Raw genomic sequence first — 19,862 nt, 5'->3', positions numbered from 1 at the left:
TAGCTTCAGAGGGGCTGCTTATACCCAGCAGCTGATTTATTCCCGTTTGATGTAATGCAAGTGGCTCTAACTACTTTCTCCATCAACATGTGTATAACAAACTACTTTTAGTCTGCATTAAAAAAAGAAACCTTAATACTTAGTGATGTAAAGCCTTAATAAAACGTTAGCAGAACCATGGAATGAAAGATGAGGGTGGTTGGATTTTACTGTTTTTACATTTCCTGTCAAGATTGTATGTTTATTTTCTAAAGAAAAAAGTCAGCCAAGCATAAAATATGAATTTACGGTGCCACTATTTGATGAGATTCTCTCTGAAAATTATATACAACTCTTCATACACGTGCCTCCTGTTAATTAGAGGATACTTTGTAGAAGACCAGTTACAGCAAAAATTGCTGTAACAGTCAAAATCCTCCACAGTAAGAAGGAAATCCTGCTGAGGATAGTATTTTCTATAGACAAGAATTGCAGGACTCCAGCCAAAGGCCATGTCCTTATCAATGTGCGTAGATGCCACTCTGCAACACAATGTGTTTTGTAATATGTTGTTCTCATTTCTGTATCAGTCAGTCCTCAATTGTGTGAAAAGTTATCCTAACAGATTATATAAAAACGACTTCTATTTACATTTGAAAAATAATAAAGAACAGGATGATTTCCAGAATTACATTTTAATAGTTATATAATTATATGTTTACATAATTATTTATATATTTATACATTATTTATATATTACTTATATATTTTTATATAATTATTTATCCTTATATAATTAGTTCACATTTCCATAGTAGGCATAAATTGATATACTTAAGGGAAAGTCTGGATGCCCTCACCTGCTGATAATTTGGATATTTGTCTTTCAAATCCCACATTGAAATTTGATTGTCAATGTTGGAAGTGGGGTTTGGCAGGAAGTTTTTGAGTCATGGGGGCAGATCCCTCAAGGATGTCTTGATGCCAATCTGACCACAGTGCATGAGTTCTCACTCTTGTCTCCCCCTTGAGAACTGACTGTTAAAAAGAGCCTGACACCTTCCTCCCTTCTCTCTCTCATGTCCTTCCTCTCTCCATGTGATGCCTGGCATGAATAGATGCTTTCTGAAACCCTCACCAGAAGCAGATGCTGGTGCCATGTTTCTTGTACAACCTGCAGAACTGTGAGACAAATAAATCTCTTTTCTTTATAAATTACCCAGCTTCAGGTATTCCTTTATAGCAACCAAATGGACTAAGACACCTGCATTCTATGGACTCACCTTCTGTCTTGAGTTGGTCATCTCATCGGTACTTTCCTCCCTCCTTGGGCTACTGAGTAATGTTAGCTTCCCTGTCTACTGAAAACTCCAACTATCTAACTTTGGCTGGAGATTCAATGCTATTTCTGTCCTACATAACTGCCACTGGGAACTTTTGTATCTTTCTGAAATCTCTACAGGCACTTGCCCTTCCCTCAGATGATCCTAATTCCTGCATTCCAAATAGAAGAATGTCCAACTTGGAGTGTGCCTGCAAATTCTGGTCTCTCCACCTCAAATTTCTCTATATCTTCAGCCATATAATTCTCCATTCCATCTTGACTCCAAAGAAAAAGTGAAGAAATTAACAAAGGAGAATTAGGGTAACTGTGTGTGTGTGTGTGTGTGTGTGTGTGTGTGAGAGAGAGAGAGAGAGAGTACATAAGAACTAGCATTAAAAATAACAAAACAAAACCCTTTAAAAAGGTCAAGAGGTTCACTCAGACGTTTACAAGGACTTTCATTGTGCTAGACACTTCCCGAGGAACTAGAGAAACACAGGTGACAAAACAAAGCCTCTAATTTGATGCAGTGCAAAGTCTAAAGGGAAGAAACAGAGCTTGCTTACAAGTAACTTCAATTTGAAATTGGCATTAACAGAGGCATGCCTATAGAGCCAGGGCAATCAAAGGGAAAAGTGCATGGGGGCTAAAATGCTATACCTATGTGTAGACAAAGAAGAGAAGCACAGCAGCAGAAACATAAAAAGGAGAAACACAAAAAGAACAGCTCCTAGGATGATGGGAAAAGAAAGTCTGTAAGTATTATAATGAAAGGTAAAAAGAAGAGATGATGAAAGGCAAAAAAAGGTGCTACAAATGTGGGGGCCAGAGGTAGGAGCAAATAACCTACTTTCTCCTGGAATTGGAAATTAAGGTTTTCTGTATACTTGAAGCTCACCCTGCCAAACACAAATTTATTATTATATTTTATTTTAAACTACTTCTATTTAGAAATCTTTCTAAAATATACCACATATGTTTCTGCATTGTAAAGCCAAGACATCAAACCAAAATATGCCAAACCTGATTTAATCTGTTCTAGACTAAGAATCTTCATGATTATCCATTTTTGTACTTTGATGTGGTGTGCTGACATTCCCAGAGTCCATTCAAATGTAAGTCTGCTGTTTCACTCTATGCCAAACACAGTCTAAAACTATGCTTCTGGAATTCTCCAATTCTGCCTTAAGAAGGGAGCTGTCACTTCTCAGAGCTTCCCATTATGACTTCCCTCACTTGGGCTTTGAGGACTTTCTGCCTGTTTCATTAACAGTCCTCTGGGTGAGGTGGTCCTACAGGGTGGCCCTCTGCCATGAAGAATGTAGAATGAAGAGCTAATCACCTCTCAGTGGCTTTTCTGCTTCCTTCCAGGTCTCCTGCTTCATTCTACATGGTTCTAGAATTCTGATATCGAATAGAATTCTACAATAAAGTTATCTTTAATAACACAGATTCTTCCTGCCACTTATTTAAGAGCAGTAAAATAAATCTTGTCCCTCACAGCCTTTATGTTTTCCAAAGTAGACTTCTAGCTACACTCTAATCCCGTTCCTCTTTGACATGGTCATAAACTCTTGATTAGCTTTATTCTGATATGGAAAATACAGAAACAGTGTTTCTTTTGCATTCATTCAATAAAATACTATGTGCCAAGTGCTCTAAAAGGAAACGTGGGGGAATTAAAAGATAAACAGAACAGGTCCCTAACCGTGAAGAACTAAGAACTCAAAGAACCTTGACTGCATTGAGGCCAGGAGAAGACATTCCACAATCTACAGCATGGAGGGAGGTGGAAGAAAAAATCTCTCAGTTTGGAGGGCAAAGGTGGAAGGGAGGGGAAAGAATAACCTTCATCAGGAAATAGCAATGCCACTGGCTTTGAAGAAATGAGGCAATCTTACTAGACACAATGCAAAGTGAGCACAATAAGGCAAAGGAAATAGCATGAGAAAGGGATGGGAAATTGAGAGAAAAAGCAAAAAGAAGCCATATATATATATTATATATATAATATATATAAGTCAAATATTTATATATATATTATATATAATATATGTCAAATATATATATATATATATATATATATATGCCAAAAGAATAGAGAGAGAAAATGTTGCAAAGGTAGGTCAGAATCAGATCACATAGGGCCCAAAATGCCAGACCAAAAAGGCCTTGAAGCTGTAAGCTCTGAAAGGTCAGTGAAGTTTTTCTAGGTTTCTGAACCTAACACACAAGATTTAATCTTGTTAACAAGATGATTTTTTTCCCTTTAATGGAAAAAGAACTCAAAGGTGAATTATTAATCATTTCATTTGTGTTAATTATCTCTCAGAACCAAGCTCACTATTAAAACACTGCTGTGGAATTAACTACAGGGTAGCCACTTGTCTTGCTCTCACACTACAGGAAATACATACAAATGGAAAAAAGGGGTCATTAAGTCTAAAACAAAGGGCAGCGTGGATATACAAATCAAATTTATGTATTTGACAAAAAAGAACAGGGAAAGCAACATCTGTTCCAATTCACAATAAATACAAAATATTTAGGTCTTTTAACTTTCCACTGGCGTCTTTTAAATAAGTAAAATTTTTTAGAATCTTAAAAACAGCCACTTTCCCAATTCAAGATTTGCTATTTTTCTATCTAGCACTGATGACTTTCTTTGCCTTCATCCAACTAGATATACCTGCCTTCCTGACTTACCTATAGGATGAGTACATTTAGGATTATATTCCATATGAGCCTGTGTTGTACCAATTTTCTATGATCATCTTTGCTCCCCAAGATTAAGAGTTGTTTGGGGGGAAGGATCATGCCATATACTCATTCTGCATCCTGAACATGGCTGAACACTGGACAATAGAAGATATTCATAAATACATAGGAGTTGATTAACCCATTAATTTCCAAAATATATATTCCCTAAAGACTCAATTCTGTTATTCATATGGTCTGCGCAAGGAATAGAAGAAAAATCTGAAATTCAGAGCTAGAAGAGATTTTAAAAAAAAAGATACCCACAACCACTTCTTTAAAAAAAAACAACATTATTAGTCATTAGGAAAATGCAAATCAAAACCACACTGAGATACCACTGCATTCTCTAAAAGTGCTACAATGAAAAAGACAAATAATCACAAATGTAGGAGAGGATCCAGAGAAACTGGAACCTGCATACATTGCTAGTGGGAATGTAAAATGAAATGGCCACTTTGGAAAACAGTTTGGCAGTTCCTCAAAAACACAAAATACAGCATTATCATACAAACCACCAATTCCACCCCTAGGTATATGCCCAAGAGAACTGAAAACATACGTTCATACGAAAACTTATACGCAAACGTTCAGAGCGGCATTATTCATCATAGCCAAAAAGTAGAAGCAACCCAAATATCCATCAACTGATAAATGGATAAACAAACTCTGGTACATTCATACCACAGAGTATTATTCAGCCATAAAAAGAAATGAAGTGCTAATACATTCTACAACATGAATGAACCTTAAAAACATTATGCCAAGTGAAAGAAGCCAGACATCAAAGGTTTCATTTATGATTCTATTTACATGAAATGTCCAGAAGAGGCAAATCCATTGAGTCAGAAAGCAGATTAGTGCTTGCCAGGAGCTAGAGGGAGGTGAGAATGGGGAGTGACTACTAATAGGCATGAATATGGGTGATAAAATATTCTGGAATTAGATTATTGTACAACATAGTAAACATACACACACACAAAAACACATTGGGACATACAATTTTTAAAAGTTAATTTTATGGCATGTGAATTATATCTCAATTATGAAACAACAGCAACAACACAACAAAAAACCTGAAGCCCAGAGAAGCCAAGTTTCTTGTCCAAAGACATAAAGCTGATTAAATGGCAACGCCAGAACCAGATTCCAAGTCTCCCAACTTCCAATGCAGTATGCTAGCTCCATAATACACTGCTCTAGAAGTATTAGGACAATGGATCCTGAGCTTGGAAGCAATGTAGACTTGAACTAGTCATTTAACAGGTCATACCTTATCAGAAGAGGAAGATGAATTAAACGATCTCTTCAGTTCCTTCCAGTTTTAAAGCAGTCTGAGTCCTCTCAGATTGAGACCATTTCCTCTCTGATACTGTAGAGTGGTGGTTCTCAACCAGGGGCGATTTTGCCCCCTAGGGGACATTTGAGAATGTCTGGAGACATTTTTGGTAGTTGCAACCAGGAGGAAGGGTGCTACTAGCACCCAGTGGGTAGAAATAAGGCAAACTGCTTTATATCTACGATATATAAGACAAGCCCCAACAACAAAGAGTTGTCCAGCACAAAATGTCAATAATGCCACTGATGACAAACCCTGGTTTAGGGTATGATCAACTATTTTCAAGCTTTTCAAGGCAGTTCTACCCTAGAGTTAATAACCTCAGAGTAGCAGTTTTGAGATTACAGAGTGACTAGAGGCTGACACCATGCTAGCACCAAGCACATAGCAAATAGACAGGTACTTTTTAACCCCACAGTAGTCAACCTCTCCAAAGAATCAAATATTCAAATGCCAACAGAAGTCAGACAGTTAATAATGTGAAATAATGAAGCCAGCAAACAACTAATAACCATTTAAAACTATTATTTCCTTCCTTTAACACACACACACAAACTTGCTGGCTCCCATTCTTCTTGAAACATATATATAGCCTTCTCGATATAATCTTATGGTTTCCCACTTTTGATAGACATAGATGCCAAGAAATACTTTCTATTATAAGATAAAAGAATATACAAGCTCAGTAACAAATGGCTCAGAGTTGGGAAAATGGTGAGAATGATGAGGGGCTGTGTAGACACCAAGGATACAGGCCCTAAGGCAAGGGGGCATCACTACTCAGTTCCAGTGGATCCATGCCAAGATGCCATGATACCACAATGGAGTGAGGTGCCAGGATCAAGTAATCTTCAGATGTCTTAAGAAGAATGGGAAATCCAGGTTATGTTTGTGTCTAAGAAAGGTAACTCCCAGTATTTAAAATATTTGCTCAAAAGAATTTAAAATGGTATATTAACTCGAAAGAGGGTGTTTCAGACTTGCAACCAGATTGTGACTTCCAGCCTACACTAACCTTAATAAACAATGACAGTTTGGGGTATTCCTAAGGCTATGTTCCATTTAACTCAGGACCTATTTTTTTTTTTTTTTTGAGACGGACTCTCACTCTGTCTGGAGTGCAGTGGTGCAATCTCAGCTCACTGCAACCTACTCCATCTCCTGGGTTCAAGCAATTCTCCTACCTCAGCCTCCTGAGTAGCTGGGATTACAGGCGACTGCCAGCACACCCAGCTAATTTTTGCATTTTTAGTAGAGACAGGGTTTCACCACTTTGGCCAGGCTGGTCTCCAACTCCTGACCTCTGGTGATCCGCCCATCTCGGCCTCCCAAAGTGCTGGGATTACAGGGGTGAGCCACCGCGCCCGGCCAACTCAGGACCTATTATCTGATTATTTGAACATTATTTTTTCCTTAATTAAATCTTTATAGCTCATTTAAAGTTGAAAAAAATCAGAAAATTATTGCCAACTTCAATTTAAATGACACTCAATAATAATAATGGCTGCAATTTCATTAAGCTTCAACAACTTTACAAGTAGATTTTCTGAGATCCAGAGAAGTAAAAAGGCATGTTCAGCCACCTTGCCCATTAGAGTATCAGATCCATAATTCAAATCCAGGTCTTCCTGCCCCTGGAGTCTACATTCTTTCTACTCATCACTGCCCTTGTATCACACAAATTTCTTCTATCTACCAAGCTTATGAGGCTCTCTCAATAATTTACATATAAATAATCTAATATTAGAGAGATGGTTGACAATAAACAAAGCACAATGATCTTGGAGCAATTAAACTGGACAGATGAAGAGTGTAAACAGCAGCTTCATTGACCACTCCTGCAGGCCTCCTCCCTACCAGTGTGTGTTGACTGAATCTTTCCCTTTACAGATGGAGGCTGTCTACACTCCCCCAGACCCTCAATTCCCTCCCTTCCACCAACAAACCCAACTCTGGCCTCCTCCTTTCTACTCCCTCTCTTGCATTCAACTCCCTCAGTAGGCTGCAATATATTGATAAACTCCTTCCACTCACAAGAACACCTTTGTGCAGAGCATACAACAGGGCATAATCAGCATAGAGAACATTTCTCCTAGTAACCTAGGGTTCAAGATGTAAAGGATGAGGGCGCACACCTCCACAGCAACCATTTGTCCCCATGGATCTGTTGCCCAAAAGGCCCCAATATATTAAATATCTCTGCCTATGACCCCATCTCTGGGTTACAGCCATCCTGGCCAACCTTTCTTTCCCCGTATTACCTATTGCCCTCCCATCGAATCTTACTCCTTCCAGTTCAACCCATCAAGTTGGTTTTATTCAACTTTATCACACACAGCAAGAGAATCACATTCGAAGGAAATCATACATTTAGTTTCAGGACATCCAACAAAACATTAAACAGTCTCTTCGGAGCACTGCCTATTCTCATTTCCTTTAACTTCTGAAGTCTTCCTCTGGGACATATCTATAGGAGGAAGACGGTACAGATCTGGCTATCTCAACCTTTTGGGTTCTATGACAAGGCAAGTTGTTTAAAGTTTGGGTTTCTTACTCTTCTGTGAGGGGGCAGGGTAATTATGAATAGCTACTATACCAAGTTACTTTAAGGAGTACAAATAACAAATGCAAGCCCCCTAGTACTGCCTGCACATGTGAATGGTACTCATTATTATTATCACGAAATATTAGTTTTCAATTTTAAATCATACTCCTTTTAGCTTCCATCAGTCTCTGAAGAAGCAAAGCCATTGCTATCACATGATCTAAGGACATCATGCCTACAATTATCAGCTCAGCAGCTGAGTGGAGACCTCTGGAACCACTCCTCAGGAGTCCTGCACAATTCCCTCTCTTTATTACAGCTTGAGCTCAGACACTGTTATTCTAGCATGCTTGTTGCGATAGCACAACCCAGGTTCTCACCAGTCTCTTGGTCAGGGGCTCTTCTGGTGAGCAATGTGGGGCAATATAAAAAGTACCAGGCACAAAATCAGAAGAAAAGGGTTTGAATCTAGGTTTTACCGCTGAGCTGAATAATCCTAGACATGCTACTTAATTACCCTGTGTCTCAACACTCTCATCTGTAAAATGAGTATAAGAAATCATAGTTTGTAGGACAATTGTAAAGATGAAATGACATAAAGTAAATATTGTACCACATTGCTGGACACAGATAAAGAGTAATTGTTCAGCTGCCCTTTCAGTGTTCCAAAGCTCAGCACAATGGGTCCCCTCTTCCAGGTGTCTTTTTCCTTCTCCTGTCTCCCACATTTTTCCACAAAGCCCCTTACTGCTTTTACCATCATCTACCTGCCCATCTGCCAGCCCAACTTATGTTTCACAGGTATTCAAAATTCACAGTGTTCAGATTCACAGTCAGGATTCTAGGAAATTCCATTCATCTTCATTAAACACAGAAATCCTGGCCCTTCACTGTCCCCAACCCCCACCAAATTTGGGGTGACAGACAAGGCATGATGTTTGCAGAGGATATCCATCAATTCAACTTGGTGTTTCATATTCCTTTTCCCGGTTACTCACAGACTCAACATATTCTGTATCAGTTACAAGAATCTGAAAGACAGAGTCTAAATACATGAAGTTTAAGGCAGGGATGGCAAATACGTGGCATAAGTCCTGATCCTCTCTCTGGTACCAGAGCAGGCATCAACAATCAATCACACTGTTTTCCTGCTGATCCCAATCAAGGCTCCAAAACCCCTCTCCCGGCTCTCCAGGCAGCTACTATCCAACAGTCAGAGTTGTCATTTGGGATGAAATCTATACATTATTCAGCAATCCTTAGATCAAGCCAGGGCTCTAAAAAAAACATACACAGTATATTTGGTGTCCCTTAGATGCCAAAATCCTTGGATGCTCAAGTCCCTTATATCAAGTCGTATAGTATTTGCATATAACCTATGTAAAACATGGTATAATTTAAATCATCTGTAGATTATTTATAATATCTAATACAACGTAAATGCTATGTAAATAGCTGTAATACTATATTATTTAGGGAATGAAGACTAGAAAAAGTCTGTACATGTTCAGTACAGATGCAACTGTCCACTTTTTTTCTGATTATTTTTGATCCACAGGTAGGTGAATCCACAAATATGGAACCCACAGATACCAAGGGCTGACTGTATTATGTATAGCAAAGAATAGTGACTATGTGCATAGTAGTAAGCACTTTATAGGGAGTGAAAATATGATCTGAATGGGTCGTGCACAACATGCCATGTACCTATAAAATATCCAAACATTACAGCAGAACTCTAACTAATGGTATGTTTGGTGAATGGCCTGCTCAAATTATAATGTTCTTATACATTTAAGTGGAAAACCCTTTACACTTAAATTTACTAAAATCTCTCCTAAAATTATACCTGTATGCGTTCTCAGCCTAGTAAGTAGTATGTACTGTATATAATTTTTGGACTGTTAAGGAACTTACACAGTTCAAGGTCATTGTGATTTTTTTTTACTGTTATTACTACTACTACTACTGAAGATGATTATGATACAGAAAAAGTAGGTAACATGCACTGAGTTCTCAGTATGTCATGGCACTCAGCTAAATGCCTAATGCAAAATCATTCATTTCATTCAAAGCTCATAAGAGCTTTTCTATGCATAAAATACCATTCCTATCCCACTTACACAAATGAAGAGGCTAAGGTTACTTGTCTAAGGTCATGCCTTTCATCAGTGGCAGAGCTAGGATTTGGACTCAGCCCCCGCCTTAACCATAACACTGTTCTCTAATGATAGATTGCCATAGCCAGGACAGAGAGGTAGGTGCATGGGTTGAATATAAACTGACTCCAGAATTAAAGAAATCAGCGCATACTCAACCCAAACATTTATTTTGGCTAGTAAGCAGTTTGTTTCTCATAAAAGAACAGTGAAATCTAAACTCCCATCAATGAAGGGCCCAGGCTTATAAAGGTGGCCAATTCCCATTTGAAGAAACCACGCTAATGAACATAATTATTAAAAGAGAACCAGTGAAAGATAAGCAGAGACTGTGATTTAAAACAAACCACACACACACACACACACACACACACACACACACACACACACACAAAAGGGTGAGAGAACCACTGAGCTTTAATACACATGGGAATGTCATGAATGAAGAAGACCACACTCCCACGTCTTGTGGAACATGCAGAAGGAAAACAAGCTAACTCAAAAGCTATGCTTATTGCTCTTTGGGTTTTTTGTTTTGCTTTGTTTTGTTTTTAATATTAGATCAGTATGTAGCAATAGCTGCTGACTTTAACTATATTTGCATTTACCAAATACCACTGAACTGACCTGTCAATCAAGTCACCTAATTGTATGTCTCTTACTCTCAGTCCTCCACTCTCAAAGCCACTAGACTGAAGATGACAAAAAGTCATTTCATATTTGGGCCATGACCCAGTAGGAAATGGCAAACACATCCTAAATTAGTTAGAACCCCCTGCCCTCAGTCGCACCCAACGTTCCCTGTCTGCTCCAAGAGCTGAGAAGCAATGCTGGCAGAGGGCCCACCAAGACCCCACAGCAAAGCAGACACACCCTGCCGGATACCTTCCACTTCAGGGGTCAGCTCCAGGAAACAACCCCTTGGAGTTCTGCCAAATACTCAACCAGCTCAAAAGAGTAGATCCCCTTGGGAATAAGCTGTCAATAGTAACAAAGGTGACCAACAAAATTGTTCCCAAATTGTCCCAGAGGCTGTGCCAGCCTAAAAGTGCCTAAGTTTGTAGGGAGGTGGGGCCCCATCTGCCTGGATGCTGGCATCTGAGTTCAGCTTTCCATTCCACTGCAAAGCTGTCATGAACCAGAAGGGAAACATTCAATTAAGTGCTTTTCCAAGCTTTATTTCTGTTTTAGAGTTAGAAAATAAACCAATCAAATATAAAAGAGATAGCAATACTAACCCTTTAAATTACCACAGTCCACTGTGAAACTAGCCAGTGCTGACAGATGAAGTCAGATAAGCCTATTAAGAGAGGGAGACAGAAGGGAAACTGCACTGCCTTAAATTGGGTTGTGCAGTTTCTAGCTGGTACAGGCTTCCAACCTCCAGCTCCTCCCCTCCTGCCCTACTCCTCCAAGCCACCCCAGTGCCCCCCAAAAACTAACACATGGCACATATTCATCACTATCTAAAAATGCTAAACAGAAAGGCTCATTGATATGTTCTTAAGCTAAAACTAGAAGGAGGACCCTCAAAAGACAACTGTATATAACCTGAAGTAGAAGAGTCCCCACAAAAGTTAACAAGCACTTGCCATTTCACAGAAGAAAGAAAATGTTCACTAAATTTTTAAGGCTAACCTCTTTTTTTGCATCACGGATAAACAGTATAAAATAAAATCAATCACAGAAAAAAATGAATACAGGAATGTGGCTTAAATAGAACTTAAATCTCTAACTAACTCTCCAGCTAAAATAATACCCATTTAAAGGAATTCCTGCTGAAAAACTCCTGAAGCCTAAAAGGGTCTCCTGAGTTTAGAGCTTGGAGGGTGATTTTTTTAAAAACTGACATTTAGCAGGTGAAATAATAATTTCTAGACCCCATTTTTAAATATGCATTTCAAAATAAAGTATTTTTGTTGTTGGTGGTGATGGTTTTGGGGTTTGTTTGTCTGAGACAAGGTCTCACTTTGTCACCCAGGCTGGAGTGCAGTAGTGCAATCTCGGCTCACTGCAGGCTCGACCTCCCAAGGTTCAGGCACTCCTCCTGCCTCAGCCCCCCAAGTAACTGGGACTACAGGCACATGCCACCATGCCCCGCTAATTTTTATATTTTTTGTAGAGATGGGGTTTTGCCATGTTGCCCAGGCTGGTCTCGAGCTCCTGAGTTCAAGAGATCTGCCTGACTCAGCCTCCCAAAGTGCAAAGATTATAGGCATGAGCCACTGCACCTGGCACATAATAAAGTATTTTAAACTTTCATATATAGTGATCAGTAAGTCATGCTAATTTCTACTTTAGAAAGTGAAACATTCACTATGATTCTAGATTTTTTTCTATTCTGTCACCCATTTCTAATTTGATAGAAAAAAACACAATTCATTTAAGAACTTTTTATAAATCAAAGATGAAAAATAACTAAGGAAGAAATATTGTTTAGTTAATACCTCACACTGCTTCCTGTTGCCTGCTGAGTTTTTCACCATCAATAGCTCTTTTCCTTTTCAATTTTTGATTTTTAAAAATTGAAAAACAGAAAAAAATCAATACACCATCTTACATGAGTCTTCCTGCAATGTGCAAACCACCTTGTTTTTCATATTATAAATATATGTCAAAATTTAGTTTCCTCAACAATCAACAGAGTGAAAAGACAACCTACAGAATGGAAGAAAAGGTGCAAACTATGTGTCAACAGGAGATTAATATTGAAAATATACAAGGAACCCAAACAACAGCAAAAAAATAAATAATCCAACTAAAATTGGATAAGTGATCTAAACAGATAGCTCTCAAAAGAAGACATACAAATGGCCAACAAATAGATAAAAAAAATTCTTAACATCAGTAATCATCAGGAAAATGCAAATCAAAATGATAATGAAATTGCATCTCACCCCAGTTAGACTATTATCGAAAAGGCCCCAAGTAACAAATGCTGATGAGGATGCAGAGAAAGAGGACCTCATATACTGCTGGTGGGAAGCAGTATATGAGTACAGCCATTATAGTGAACAGTATGGAAGTTTCTCAAAAAACCACAAATGGAACTACCATTTGATCCAGCAATCCCACTACAGAGAATTTATCCAAAGGAAAAGAAATCAGTGTATTAAAAAGGTATCTGCACTCTCATGTTTGTTGCAGCACTATTCACAATAGCCAAGACATGGAATCCATCTAAGTCTTGAACACACAAATGGATAATATGGTATATATACTCAATGGAATGTTATTCAGCCATAAAAAGAATAAAATCCTGTACTCATGGCAACATGAATGCACCCAAGGACATTACATTAAGTGAAATAAGCCAGGGACAGAAAGATAAATACATGTTCTCAACTCGATAGGAGGAGTAAGTTCTAGCATTCTATAGCATTGTAAGATATTTCCAGATAGCTATGAGAGATTCTGAATATTCCCAACACAAAGAAATAATATTTGAGGGGACTGATAAGCCAATTACCCTGATTTGATCACTATACATTATATATACAGAAATATCACTAGATACCCCATAAATATGTATAATTATGTGTCAGTTAAAAAAACTTCTAATTCTTCTATTTTCTTAATAAAAATAGTTTGTATGCTACTTATAATGGGTAAAAGAATATTTGCAGAATTTGAAGTATATTCCAGAATTTAAAGCTTATCTTAATGTTTCTTTCTAATAGCATATAATTTTGAAACATTATCATATATGTTTTTCTTTGAATAACTGGGTCAATGAGAATTTCAGGGAAATAAAACACCACCAATCTCTGCACTCAAAGACATAGTTCTTGATCAGCTCGATTTGTTTTCTTATGTAATTGTAAGTGAAATACATTTTCTTTTTTTTTTTTTAGAAGGAGTTTCACTCTTGTCACTCAGGCTGGAGTGCAATGGCACAATCTCGGCTCATGCAATCTCTACTTCCTGGGTTCAAGTGATTCTCCTGCTTCAGCCTCCCAGGTAGCTGGAATTACAGGTGCCTGCCACCATACCAGGCTAATTTTTGTATTTTTAGTAGAGATGGGGTTTCACTATATACTGGCCAGGCTGGTCTCGAACTCCTGACCTCGTGATCCACCTGCCTCAGCCTCCCAAAGTGCTAGGATTACAGGTATGAGCCACTGTGCCCGGCCACATTTTGATTTTCAAATAAATTATTTTATCTTGGCTAAAAAAAAATTAGTTTCTTCAAGTAGATTGAAATGCTTAAAGTATCCAAATACAAATGGGTAAACAGCTCCTAATTTCATAAAGGAGTTCATATCCTTGATTATATTTTTAAGTTTAAATGTTACTGAAGAATGGATTAAAAGCACATCAAATCTGGGAAATACTAAAATGTACTAGAAAAACTGAGGTTAGATCTTCACTTGGGATATTAATAAATCCTATTTTCTAGCAGAAGACCTCATACATAGACTATAGTTCCATATACTTCAATATCCCACTGCTGCCTTTAAGTGTCAAGAAATGTGGCCCAGTCTTTCCAATTAAATGAGAAAAACTCCATAAATTAGTCTTTTTATTTCAATCCTCATGTTGCATGCTATTATGTGTTGAGTTATGTCTCACCCAAAAGATACTGAGGTCCTAACCCCCAGTACCTATAAATGTGACCTTATTTGGAAATAGGATGTTTGCAGATAATCAAGGTAAGATGACATCATTAGGGTAGGCTCTACTCAGTATGGCTGTGTCCTTATAAAAACAGAACATTTGGGCACAAAGATACATGCACAGAGGAAGAATGCCATATGAATGTGAAGGCAGAGATGAGGGTGATACATCTACAAGCCAAGGAATGCCAAAGATCGCCAGCAAACCACCAGAAACTAGGAGAAAGACATGGAAAGGACTCTCCCTCACAGCCCTCAGAAGGAAGCAACCCCACCAACTCCCTGATCTCAGGCTTCCAGCTTCCAGAATGTTGAGACAAATTTCTTTTATTTAAGCACCCCAGTTTTTGGTATTGTGTTAATGACAGCCCTAGAGAACTAATATACAAACTTTCTCACTCTTACCTTCCATCACCACCACATCCTCTCCTTGGGCCCCCAACTTACTCCTGCTTCTTCTGATCACTTGTATGCTCCCAACTCTTCCCTAACCTCACTCCACAACCTCCTCTGCCAATGTCCTTCAGCCCTGTTTCTGTTCACTGGGTACCACTTGCATTTTGGATAGGGCAGTTCTCTGTGCGGAGCTGTCCCACACACTGTAGGATGTGAAGTACCTCTGATACTCTCATTCCCCCAGGATGCTACAGAGCCCACAGGAAGAACTTCTACTCTAGCAGCTCTAAAGCCACCTGCCCACCAGGGTTTGACTAAAGGTCCCCCCACCTGAGTATGATCTCAATCTGGTCAGCTTGCTTCAGTCTCTTCCTCTGGAAAATGGGAATAAATACTAATAATTACCCTGCCATGTGTCAGTGATGATCCAATGAATTAAAGATCCTAAAGTGGCCAGTTATACTCTCATTCGTGTTATTAGAGTAACTTAGGAATTAATACCCACTCTATTCTACATGATCACATCCTGACTTTAACTGATGTTAAACTCATCAGTTTAAGATGTAGAAATCTTTTCTGAGGTGTCCTTACACAGGGAAGCCTCACTGAATACATTCACGGGGATGTAACACCTTACCTGGTAATTGTGTGTATAAAATAGTTATAAATCACCCAAAGCAGTAGGTATGCACTTTTTACAGTTGCAAACAGCAAGACAACTCTGAGCATGGTTTCCATGTGTTTCCCTTCCACACCCACCCTCACTTGAAGTCCTATCCATGATTTCCAAGTTTGCTTCCAATACCTTTCTATCTTTTGCTCCCAGTGATGGTTGCTCTCCAACATCCAGGGATATACTGATGTCTAGCTCATTTCACCCTGCCCCATGGAAACATCTCCCAAGCCAGCATCAGTCCTTCACTATCCTTGATTAAACAGTTTGCATCTCAAGTCTCTGAACTGGAGAGAGACAGCACTGATTTATGCCATGAGGGCAGAGTACATGTCTGTTCTGACCATCATATACACCTAGCACCTTACATCACCTAATACAGAACCTGGGTAAGTAAGTTTTCAGTGATTGTCTGATGAATATATGAGTCATTCAATGCAAGAATGAATGCATTCAGACATCAGGAATCTGGCTTCCTATGAAATCTCAGCTCTGCACTGACTGGACATAAATGGCTTCCGGAAAAGCCACTTAATCTCTATGCCTAAATTTCCTTTTCCAAAAAATTAGGTGGTTGGGCTTCACTAAAAATATCTTTAGGTTTCCGTCCAACTCTAACAGAGCCCAGGAACTTTAATGAGGAGTAAAAGATTTTATTTACATTTTGAGAAATGTTAGTCAAGGCAAGTAGGAAGGTAAAGATTCTTCTGAAATCACACAACTAGGGCTCCCCCACTGCCAGGCAGCTCCATGTTCCCTGAGAAACAAAAGGCTCCAGGCAGCAGACAAGCTGCAGAAACTAAAGACATCTCTGAGATGCTAAGCACTACAGAGTTTGTCACCATGGGCTTCTTTCAGTCTTCTTTCAGGAGTCTACCCTGTCCCACCCAAAGCTCCCCCTTTCCAGCTTGAGCAGGATGGGCTCAAGAACTCTCTCCCAGGCTCCAAATCCAACCCAGTTCCTCTCCCTGCCATCTGCCTAAGGCTGTCACATGCATATTTTATGATTTCTGGCACATTTCCTCTTTATCTGACATCCTGCAATGCATCTCTCTGCCTCCTATATTTTTCTATCTCTGGTAAGAATGTTCCTGCAAGAAGCATGTGTCCTTAGGCTGTACTTTACTACCTTTCCTAACTCATCTCCTACCTGTGAATTCCTTGGAGACACAGATCACACCCTCTATTCTCTGGCTTCCCAGAAGACCAAGGACAGAGCTAGGCAAGCAGCAGACTCTTAGAAAATACTTGTTGAATGAGTAAATGAAATAACTGACTGACGGAATAAATGAAATAATTGACGGATTTCAATGTTTTTAAAGTAAAAAGTCATATTCACATATTTCCTGGACAAAGTTACTAAGACTTCCCCTTTCAGGAATACATCCAGAATAAATTAAATTTTAAAATGACATTTCTATGAATATATTATTTTCTTAGAACTGAGAACAAAAAATTTCCCTACAATACAATGTGAATGAGTAGCAACATGGTCAGTTGAATAAGAAATCCGATTTTTCAGGTATCTGTAGCATAATAATGTGGCATTGCTTTTGTTTCCTAGTAAAAACTGACTTCACCTGGAGCCAGGGAAGACAAAAGAGGAATCATTCCTTGGTGTTAGTTATTCCAACTGCTGAAGCTGGAGAGCTTAGGGGAATCAGAAGAAAACAGGATGATTTTCTCTAAATAGATTGTTTAAATCTATTGATGATTGAAGCGGAGCATCTTTTTGGAAATTCTGGGACTTACTTGGCTAAGTCTAATTCTGGTCACATCCCTTCCTTGTGGTTTAATAAACTTCAGCTAAAACCAAACTGACTCAAGAATCAAATTATTTGTTCTCCCATGCACTTGCTCGTCACAGTTGGGTACCAAATGAAACACTATCAACAGTCAACCCAACACTTCTGGAGGGAACACATCATGGCTACGCCACTAAAGCTTAATATAGCTTAATGCTACTGGCCCCATTAGCCTCGCCAGCCCAAGAATTGACCTAAATATCCTCACTGGTTCTTAGAAATCATTATTCTTACATATGAACATAACCTTAACATCACTAAAAGTATGGATATTACAGATAAACTGTGTACTGATATAGGAGATAAAACTACAATTGGGGAGACTCAATGAATAACTGTATTGATATAAGATATAATTGAGGAGACTGAACAAACAAGGATTTTCTAAAACCTGAAAAGACTGGGTCTTCAAACAGCAGAATATTAAAATAGATAATTAGTGTTTATAGTCTGTAAGCATGTGGTAACTGTGTATGTCTTCTAACTCAAATGAAACCATGTCAGAACACATGCTACGAGGCAGGGCATTGAGGGGATCTGAGCCTTCACAATAAAATGTCCAAGGAAAGAAGACTAATAGGTATATTATTATACTAATAGGTATTATACTAATAGGTATAGGTATACCTATTACCTTGAGACTAATAGGTAGGTATATTGTTCAAGCAAAAGAAGCTGTTATAAGGATTCATCCATATTTACTCACCTGGTGAAGTCAAAATACTTTAAAGCTAGAGTGTGCAATTCTGAGTTATCCATGAAAATCCTTCATTTTACAGAAGAGAAACTCAGGCAGAGATGAGGTACCTTAACCAGGCTTACACTGCACTAGTTGGGGCCCACACTAAAACTTAAGTCTCTTAATTTTAGCTCCATGTGCAAAACACAAAACATTAAATTTAAAAGTTAAAAAGGCACACAGCAGGCAGGCAATAAATATTTGCCAATGGCACTGAAAAAACAAAGATGTGGAGTACCAAAACTATCTCAATATACTACCTACTAATAGAGTAAGCCAAGTCATTACCTTGACTTGGTCCGACTTGCTCCAAAGTAGCCTAGGCTTTATCTCTTGTGGAAGGGATAAAAACCATTCCTTCCATAATCAATATAATGCTATTGGGACAATTATTGAAGCATGCAAGTCGGTGGTGAAACCAAGAGCTTTGTAGCATTCTTAGTAAGGAGTGCATTTGAACAAATCTACCCTTGAAACAGTGCCAGTTTGCAAACACATGAAGTGTGGCTTCAGTGGGGAAATCTACAAAAGGCAGGCATGACTAAGCAACCCAAATAGCTAGAAACACCAGAAACTGTCAGAAGTCTGAGGACCCCAACATGACTGCACATAAGTGTAAGTTGGATTTTCCCATCTATTGTTTCTAGTGCAAATGGGGGTGGAGGGGCTTTGTATGATCGTGTTGGTTTCTTTTTAAATAAAAAACTTCAGTGGTGTACAAGGATTTTCAAACAATATTTTATTCCATCCTCCACTCCACCCACTTAAGAAACAAATTTTGGAACAATCTGACTGAGCTACTGGGCAGACAATTGACCAGACCAAATTTAAGCAATCTACAATGCACTTTTTGATGTTACTTGATTATATATGTCACAAAGGAGGCTCTTAAATCTATAGCTGAACTCTTGGTTAAGGAAACCAAGTCTCAATAATCATGTAAAACACATGTGCTATGTCCCTTAGTGGGCTGTCAAATATACTAACTACTGAATTTTCCTTAAATTCTGACATCTCTAGCTATTTAACTTTCCTTTCTTTAAAAAAATTTTTTTTCTCTAAAAAAATTCAAGAACATCCACCAAAGAGAATAGCTAAAAATAATTAAATAGAAAACCACAATTCATAGATCCCCAGGATAAAATTTCCACAGCATTACAGGTGGAAAGAAAATGCGTGCATACACACACATTTACATAAAGATGTAAAAATATTTATGGCACCCTAAGAAAAAAAATGACAGTGAAAGCAAACAATCCTACCACAACAGGACAAACCTAGTTTTACTATTCTCTTTGCGCAGGTATAAAACTAAACAAATGCACTTGCTGGCGGGGAAGGGAGGACAGAGAGCAATTCCCACTTAAACTTGCTTCATTCAGGAGCTAGGGTAACAAACCAAAGCAGCAGAAAAGGCTCCCGTGCAAAACATAACCAGTCTGAAGGTCCCAAATCGGGAAGAACTAAACTAGGGGAAGGGGGATCCCCGAAGCTCTTGAACAACCCGTTCCCCAAATTTCCATGCCACAC

General features: G+C 38.6%; 1 protein-coding gene across 5 annotated transcripts in view; it reads right to left on the bottom strand.

Annotated features, from left to right (window-relative positions):
- Positions 1-19,862, bottom strand: part of SH3BGRL2 (SH3 domain binding glutamate rich protein like 2) — a 166,023-nt gene that overhangs the window by 52,009 nt on the left and 94,152 nt on the right. Inside the window, exon 1 of one of the 5 annotated variants that reach the window (XM_011536165.3) lies at positions 1,263-1,637. The exons of the other annotated variants lie outside the window; for them this stretch is intronic. Within the exon in view, the coding sequence (XP_011534467.1) occupies positions 1,263-1,283 (21 nt within the window). The 5' untranslated portion in view covers positions 1,284-1,637. Of the gene's footprint in view, positions 1-1,262; positions 1,638-19,862 lie in introns of those variants that run through there. 5 annotated transcript variants of the gene reach the window in all.

The sequence above is a fragment of the Homo sapiens genome, chromosome 6, assembly GCF_000001405.40.
Source record: "Homo sapiens chromosome 6, GRCh38.p14 Primary Assembly".
Lineage (NCBI taxonomy): Eukaryota > Metazoa > Chordata > Mammalia > Primates > Hominidae > Homo > Homo sapiens.
Note: the sequence above shows the minus strand (reverse complement) of the source record. Positions and strands in the feature narration are given on the sequence as shown.